This window comes from Homo sapiens, chromosome 1, assembly GCF_000001405.40.
Source record: "Homo sapiens chromosome 1, GRCh38.p14 Primary Assembly".
Lineage (NCBI taxonomy): Eukaryota > Metazoa > Chordata > Mammalia > Primates > Hominidae > Homo > Homo sapiens.
Genome location: NC_000001.11, coordinates 216,735,925 through 216,744,193, shown reverse-complemented (window position 1 = coordinate 216,744,193; position 8,269 = coordinate 216,735,925). Strand labels below are relative to the sequence as shown.

The 8,269-nt window shown below is 38.3% G+C and overlaps 1 protein-coding gene across 43 annotated transcripts in view, besides 1 other annotated feature; it reads left to right on the top strand.

Annotated features, from left to right (window-relative positions):
* ESRRG (estrogen related receptor gamma) overlaps window positions 1-8,269 on the top strand; it is a 634,457-nt gene that overhangs the window by 393,509 nt on the left and 232,679 nt on the right. The gene's annotated exons all lie outside the window — the stretch shown is intronic.
* Window positions 3,401-3,968: an enhancer, noted in NCBI's record as "OCT4-NANOG hESC enhancer chr1:216913568-216914135 (GRCh37/hg19 assembly coordinates)". NCBI's record gives its function as "activates a minimal SCP1, AML or CMV promoter by ChIP-STARR-seq in naive H9 embryonic stem cells {active_cell/tissue: H9 hESC(naive)}" and the evidence as "EXISTENCE:reporter gene assay evidence [ECO:0000049][PMID:30033119]".

Genomic DNA, 8,269 nt, shown 5'->3' with positions numbered 1-8,269 from the left:
AAGAGACTCTAACGGACAATGTATTTCTTACTCCCTCATGGTTCCTTATCCACCCAAGACTGAACTCTATGGCTTTGTTCTCTTAAAGCACTTAACCCTTTAAAACCCTCCTAGCAAAACTTTCTGCTCATCACTTAGATAAAAAGAGGAATACAGCAGATAAATGAACAGAATCACACTCCATGTGGCACCGTGTCCAGAGGAATCACAAGTAAAATCTGGTACCTAATGGCAGTCAATATAATGATTAAGAGCAAAAGTTTCCGTAAGCAGGATTAGAATTATTTCTGCAAGTTACCTACTATGGAAGTTATAGTAAGTTACGAAGTCTCAGCTTCCTAATCAGTAAAATTAGAATGTTACTGAGATGATTGTGAGGTTCAGATGAACTAAATGATGTAAAATTTTGAGCACAGTCCTAGCACATCATAAACCTGTGATACTTAGCAGCACTGACCATCATGTCAATGACTGTGATCACAACGACAGTGACAGTGATGATGATGAGTGTTATCCATGAATGGTGATGATGATGATGACAACAGTGAAGATGATGGCAATGGTGAGAGCACTTAGTGGCTAACAGCTTGCTAGAAAAACTCTCTAAAGGAATCATGGCACAATGTGTTTTCTAATTTATGTTTCTGGGTCTAAGACTGCCTTCAAAACATGCTATTAGTTTTCAGAAAATTTAAACCAGCTCTCTAAATTAAATTACCCTGAAGAGGAATACTTTTATATTTTTTAATATAAGGGACTTTCTGAATTCTATGCCATAGACAGAACAATAATTTCACACTGAGATATTTATTCCAGGGTTCTCTCCATGATCCTAAGAGTCACCTCAAGGAGGGTGTATTGTTTTATTTCAGCTGCCTTGGCACAGTGTCCCAGCATTAACAGCAAATGAATAGCCTGTGCCTGTTTTGTAACTTTCATTCTCTACTCAATGGCTTTTCTCAGGCTTAGCAAATAAATACATTTCCATTGTATGCTATTGTTGAAAAGTCATATTGTCTTAGATTTTAAAGCACACCTTTTATACAGAGGACCTGTAGTACAGCTAGCAGCCTCATTCCATTGGTCTCTAATAATGACTATCATGGTGAGACACAGTGACTTTGACAGAAGGAGGAATTCACTCCATTAAGCAAATATACTAGAGGCTCCATACTTTGTTGGAGTTAATAATTTCATCTTTAACAACTGAAGCAAATTTGAAAGATGCTGCACCTCTCATTCAATGCTACACTCATTTTGCCTTGATCAGGGAAGGTTGAATGCTCCTATTTTGAAGTAAAATCTCCCTAAACTCTTAAGTTTGAGGGTTTTTTTAATTGTCTGGGAGAGTCCAACACCAGAGGGCGATGTGAATTCAACATTTTTACTTGTTTTCTTGTACAGTTTACTTTTGGTGTGTAAACAAAATAAGCATATTTGGTGTTCATAACGATTCATTTTCTGAAGTTGTTTTTTCAGTAACTGCAATTTTACTTACTCTGTTCCTCTCCCACTTTTGCATTTTAACAAGGAATGGAAAGATTAAGAAATCAGTCATTCATTTAGCTGTCATTTATTGAGTATCTAGTATATGCAAGGTACTGTATGAAAGGGTCGGATGGAGTTAGGACAGAAATGGATAAAGAATCATTAAAGAAATATTTACTAGTCAGTTGTTGCATACAAAGCACTCTACTGGGTACTAGTGGGAATATAAAGATGAACCAGGTAGTTCTTGTCTTCAAGGAACTTACATTCTATTGGAGAAACATGATTCCATTATTCTCTTTTATCTTAAAGGTTGCTCACTTACCACAAATTTTTCTTCCCCCAACAGTCTTTAGAGACATAGCTCAGAAAATCTGCATCTTTTGCTCCTCTCTCAAGTCAAATTGGCCATGCCCTTTTTCAAGGCTCTAACCTACTTTATAAAGACATATCACATGTATACAGAGCATTACAAATGGATGTCCTTTAAATATAAGATGGTGGGAATAGCTGAGGCAAAAATCCTGGAAATAAGAATGCATTTGGTGTGTTCAGGTTACGTGAAGGCTGTGATACCCAGGCTCTGTGAAGCAGACTTGTGGGAAACTTGCCAGGAAAGAGGGTTTGGGTCAGGTTATGAATAGACTTGAATTTTCAGGTTAAAAGAATCTTGATTTTGTTCTGTAACAGTGGAAAATGTGGGGTAAAAGTACTTGAGAATGGCATATAGAATGAATTAGAAAGAAGCAGAAAAACAGAGGGAGAGAGACCAATGAAACCACCAGTGAGGAAATTCAGGCAGTTGGAATTTAACTTTGAGAATGTAGAGATGATTTAGAGTGAGAACCAATAGGACTTAGAAGTTGACAAGTGTATTCCAAGCACCCATGTACGAAAGTGTGGTATTTTTTGACATCAAGAGGGTTGCATGAATTCATCTGTTTCATAATAGTAAGAATTCAAAGCTTAGACAGCAATTGCCCAGCTAGGCTTGCATTCATTCATTTATTCATTAAACAGCCTGTTCAATAACATCCAGTCTGTCAGGCCCTAAGCTGTGTTCTAAGCATTCTGAGATGAGACAGGGTCTCTGCCTTCAAGTAGCTTACAGTTTAATAAGAGAAGTAAAATCACATACAGATATGAAAATGCTAAAGGATGGCAGGATAAGAGATGCCTCCCGAGAGGAGGTGATCTTTCTGAGTTTCCATCTGGAAAAGAGGTATATGTGTGTGTGTGTATGTGTAGGGGGGTATTTTGGGGTGTGTGCAGGGGCGGGGGGGAGTGTTAGAAAGGGGTTGTGAGGTTGGTGTTTTAGCCTGAGGGGTCCACACATGTAGTGACACAGGATTGTGAACAGGTATAAAGAAATAATTATAATATAAATTATAAACATAAACTATATAATATAAATTACAAATATAAATTATATAATATAAATTATAAATATAAATTATATAATATAAATTATAAATATAAATTATATAATATAAATTATATAAATTATAAATATAAATATAATATAAATTACCCTGACCCCAAAGAGCTTTCAATCCTCTGTTTAGACAATGTTCTGTTTTTATATCCAATGCTATCCCATTATGTTGGACAGTCTTCCCATATGGGGACGGGGGCGTGAAAGAAGAGAGAGGGGGGACTGTGATAACTCAATGCCAGTTATATTTGAGAACCAATTTCGTATATGACTTTAAAAAATTTATCTGAGAATTAACACTTTAAATTCTGCCCAATGAAATAGTTAAATTCAGAAGGTGGAAAAATGAAAGAATGTCAATATGTATATATAATCCCATTTTGATAAATGTGACATGGTAAATTCAAAGCCACTCCAATAAATGTCAAGCTTAATACAGGGGCACCTCTGCCTGCAAATAATCTCTAGGAGTGAGGAAAACACTACAAATAAAAAAATGGAACACTTTAAGTTCTTGATAATTTTTTAGTTCCTCTGTCGGTGATATAGAAAGGTGTGTAGAAAGCATTATTTCTCCACAAGCATCTAAGGCAGGGTTACAATTTCTTTCTTTTTTTCTTTCTTTCTTCTTTTTTTTTTTAATGTTAAGCACGTTCCTTTGCAGGGCTTAGAAATCTCTCTCGTCCAAAATTGAACAAAAAAGGCCTCCCCTTGTGCTTTTTTTGTCAGGCTGATGAAGCTGTATAGAAATGTAAATGCAATATAAGAGATGGTAGTGGGAAGCTTGTGTTGTGCTCTCCTCTTCTCTGGGGCTCTCTTGTAAAATTATTCTCTGATTTTGCTGTGTGTGTGTGCACCTCTTGTGTAAGGGCATTTAATTAGCTACAAGTTACAACAAAGACTTTTGAAAGGAAAATGTGTCTGTGGTGCAGATGCCTTTATTTTCATTCTGTGAACAGCTAGGTTTTTAACTCCCTTATCAAGAGCTGCATGAACTGCCCAGACTAAATTGGGAACATCTCCACACTGTTTGACAAATAGATTTTTTGTAAACTGATTTAGCCTTTTCATTGTTTGCATTTCATTATATAGAAGACTTCATGTCACAAAATTGGTATTCATTCAAAATAGAGAATTTAGAGATAGGACTGTAGCCAGATAAAAAATATTGCACAGGTCGGGGCTATTAAGCATAGAATAATAGCAAGTCAGTGATCCAAGGGGCTGTTCTTCAGCAGCAAAGGGGCTAACATAGCCGAGGTCAGCAGTCAGACTCAGGACTGAAGATGTGTCTCTGGCCACATTTACAAGACAATCTGCAGGGAACAGAGTGAGGAATGAAGGAGTCTGGCAGGATAAACTGTAGGAAAGAGACGTCTTTGCATCTCAAATTTCATTCTCCTGAGGGGTCGGAGGTGGGAATTTTAACAGTTGAGAGGTGTCTTGGTCTGTTTTGAAACATTTGCGCATCAGAGTTTGGGTTCCATGGCACATATAGGAGAGCCATATTAGCAAAATAGATTTTGAGAAGGAGTTAGCAGTGAGCTGGGTTTTCATTTCTTCTAAATCTTTTAGCTTAGACCAGTGGGTCTCAAACTCGAACATGCATCAGAATCACCTGGAGGACTTGATAAAGCACAGATTGCTGAATCCTATCCCCAGGGTTTCTCTGGGGTGGCAGGGCCGAGAATTTACACTAACAGTTCCTGGATAATACTGATATTTTCCTTTGAGAACTACTGGTATAAACTCTACATACCAGTCATCAGACGATCAAATGATTTGCATTTTTAGAGCACCTATCAGTTAAACCCACTGAGCAATGAGCATTGGCAGCTCTTCACTGTTAACCTCAAATAGAAAGTCCAAAAGATCACAGAAGATAGTTTATGTGTAGGAGTTGTCTTTGTTTTGTTTTTATTTAAAAAATAGCTTATGTAGAACTATGTTTATATCACATCTTATTCTGCCTGTTTCCCACAGCTGGGGAACTTTTTTTTTTTTTTCACTTTAATGAATCTTTGGAGATACCTTTTATGCACTTGTCTCTCAGTGTCGGGATTATTTATAAAGATAAACAGGATGCAGTTTTACTCTCAAGAGGCTTACAGTCATGGGAGAATCAGATAAATACGAAGAAAACATTAATAGCATTTGGTTAGTTGAGATGATAGAGGGATGCTGAGGTCTCTATTCTACTGGGAGCCTCCCCTGACCTCCGCTCCAAGGTAAACTAAGTATTAAGGATAAGTAGGGGCTGGTTGCAGTGGGACATACCTGTAATCCCAGTGCTTTGAGAGGCTAAGGTGGTAGATCACTTCAGGCCAGAAGTTTGAAGCTGCAGAAAGCTATGATTGCACCACTGCACTCCAGTTTGGGTGACAGGCCTGGGTGACAGAGTGAGACCCTGTCTCATAAGTAAATAAATAACAAATAAAATTTTTAAAAAGGATAAGTAAGATTTTGCTAGGCAGAGAGAAGTGAAACATTAGCATGTATTCAGGAATCTGCCAGTGTTTTGAGAGTCCTAGAATTTTTTTTGTTTATAAGTGCACGCTGCTTCATCTTTCTCAGCTCTGGCATTTATTTTACTGTCTCACCATTTCATACTTTTCCCCTACTTAATCCACTTTTTCCCCTTACTACATTCTGTTTGACTGTTATTTTCTGTTAAATAAATAATCTGCATTCATTGTAAAATTATCTAAACAATACATAAGAATATAAGGAAGAAAATGAAAAGCAACTAAATTTTATTGCCTTATGATACCACAGATTTTGTTTAACCATTTCACATCTGTTTTTACTCTGAAGCATAGTATTTAGAATAGATTTTTACATTATACTCAGCTCTTCATTGATAAGCATTTTATGGTTCACTTTTTTCTCCTTAGTTGCTTGGCAGTATAGGACTTATTTTAGTAAAGTTTCATAAACTGATGGATCCCTGGAAATTTGGTTTCTCAGCATTGTGTCACTACAAAAGCTGGAGTCCACAGATGGTCTTCACTTTACCCTAAGCCCCTTCCTCAGCAGTTAACTTCACCTTTTTCCTTCTTTTTAATGTTGGCTGCAGTTTGAAACCCCAGTAGATCTTATCCCAAAAATACCACTGTATGGACCCCACCCTCAGAGATTTTCACTGGGTGAGACCCAGGCAGCTGTACTTTTAAAAAGTCTCCAGGTGATTCCAAAGTGGAACCAGATTATCTCATCCTATGATCACTGTTGAGCTTTGGGGTATTAGCATGACCAAAAAAAAAAAAAAAAAAAAAGTGATGTCTCATCTGCAGAACTAGTGAAGGTCTGGAAGTCACTTGCATTTAGTGATTGGCATCTAACACAAGCCACTGATAGTTTTTGTGGGCTGTATGTAAGGACGAATATTTTCTTATACTTGCATCATTCACAGTGAGCTTGGATTTATGTTATCTTATTTGTTTTCATAACAATCTTACTGAGTAAGCAGATAAGTTTATTGTTTTTTTTTTTTAATCCCTTCTTGCTAATTGTTGTTCTTAACAGATGATAAAACCAATAATTCAGGTACTTGCCCAAGGTCACACAGCCAACAGTCTGTACAGCCAGGATTAAGACGAGGCCATCTGATATCAAAGTTTATGCTTTTACATACACTTCCTTTACACGGTTCAATAATGGTAAAATAATGATTCCAGGACCTGGGCTAAGTAATTTAGCAGTGGGTCTCAGTTGCTACTTTGGCAGCATATTGAATTCACCTGGGAGCCTTCAAAACTCCTGATGCCAAAGATTTTAAATTAATTGGCTGGGGTGAGGCCTGAGGATTGGAATTTTTCAAAGGTTGAAACCAATGCTATATATAGACCATTTCATTTAATCCCTTAGCAACAATATGAGATTGGAGTCATCACCATGTTAAAAATGAGGAAACTGAGACATACAAGACTTTAACCCACCAGCCCACCTGTCTACCAGCTAAAGAATAGCAGAAGCCAGGCTCAAAACAAGGGTGAACCACTGTCTGCAGCTCTTCTGGTCACCATATCTGTCTCCACCAATTTTAAGGCTTTTGCTTCAAACTTTGAAGCAGATGCAGCTGAGTGAACCATGAGACATATACTAGCCAGAGAAAGAACTGAATTTAGAGTTTTTAAAAGTCCAAGGACCACATTCCTCTCTGTAAACTGAGCCGTAGCAGCCAGCATCACTTTATTTATTAATTTATTTGGTATTTCTTGTTGCAGGATTTGATTTTTAAGACTCAATGTGTTGAAACATGAAGTTTAAAAAACGTAGGGGCTGGGGGTGGAGAATATATGAATAACAAAGCGAATTCTGAGCCATTTATTTTTAATAAAAGCTCTGTTCCTGATGATGAAACTGTAGACCTTTAGAGGGAAACAGGTCTATAGAGATCCTATTCTCACATCTTGGCATGTCCCAGAATGACCTGGAGAGCTTGTTAAAACACAGACTGCTGGGATCTAACCCCAGAGTTTCTGACCCAGTAGGTCAGGGGTGGAGCCTAATCATTTGTGTTTTCAACCAGCTTCTACTTGATGGAGATTCTGCTGGTGTGGAATCTCTGCACCGGTTCCCTCTTGTTCACTGAAGCCCAGCGAAATGCAGCAGCTAGCGCAAGGGTACAGATGACCAAAAACCATTCTTCCTCAACTGTTCTTTCTACCAACTCTTGCTTCTCTGAGAAAGAGGGGAGCTTCAGAGATGGTATTTTTACTCTGACCCTAAAATTCAGTGTGACGTCAACTTGAGGGGATAAATATCACAGTTAAAATAGTCCTTAACGGCCAGGCATGGTGGCTCACGCCTGTAATCCCAGCACTTTGGGAGGCCGAGGCGGGTGGATCACGAGGTCCGCAGATCGAGACCATCCTGGCTAACACGGTGAAACCCCGTCTCTACTAAAAATACAAAAAATTAGCCGGGCGTGGTGGCGGACGGCTGTAGTCCCAGCTACTCGGAGAGGCTGAGGCAGGAGAATGGCGTGAAACCGGGAGGCGGAGCTTGCAGTGAGTAGAGACAGCGCCACTGCACTCCAGCCTGAGCGACAGAGCGAGACTCTGTCTCAAAAAAAAAAAAAAAAAAAAAAAATAGTCCTTAACTCCTTAGAAGCACCATATTTTGGATGGATCATAGGGTCTAGAAAGGTTACTCATTAATACCCTAGGAATGGGCATTTGGGAAACTCCCCCCCTGTTCTCATCTTTCTCAAGTGAAGGTGAGTATAGTGACCCAGGAAAGCAAATATATGTATGTGTGTATATATATATATATATATATTTTTTTTTGAGATGGGGAGTATTGCTCTGTCGCCTAGGCTGGAGTGCAGTGGTGTGATCTCAG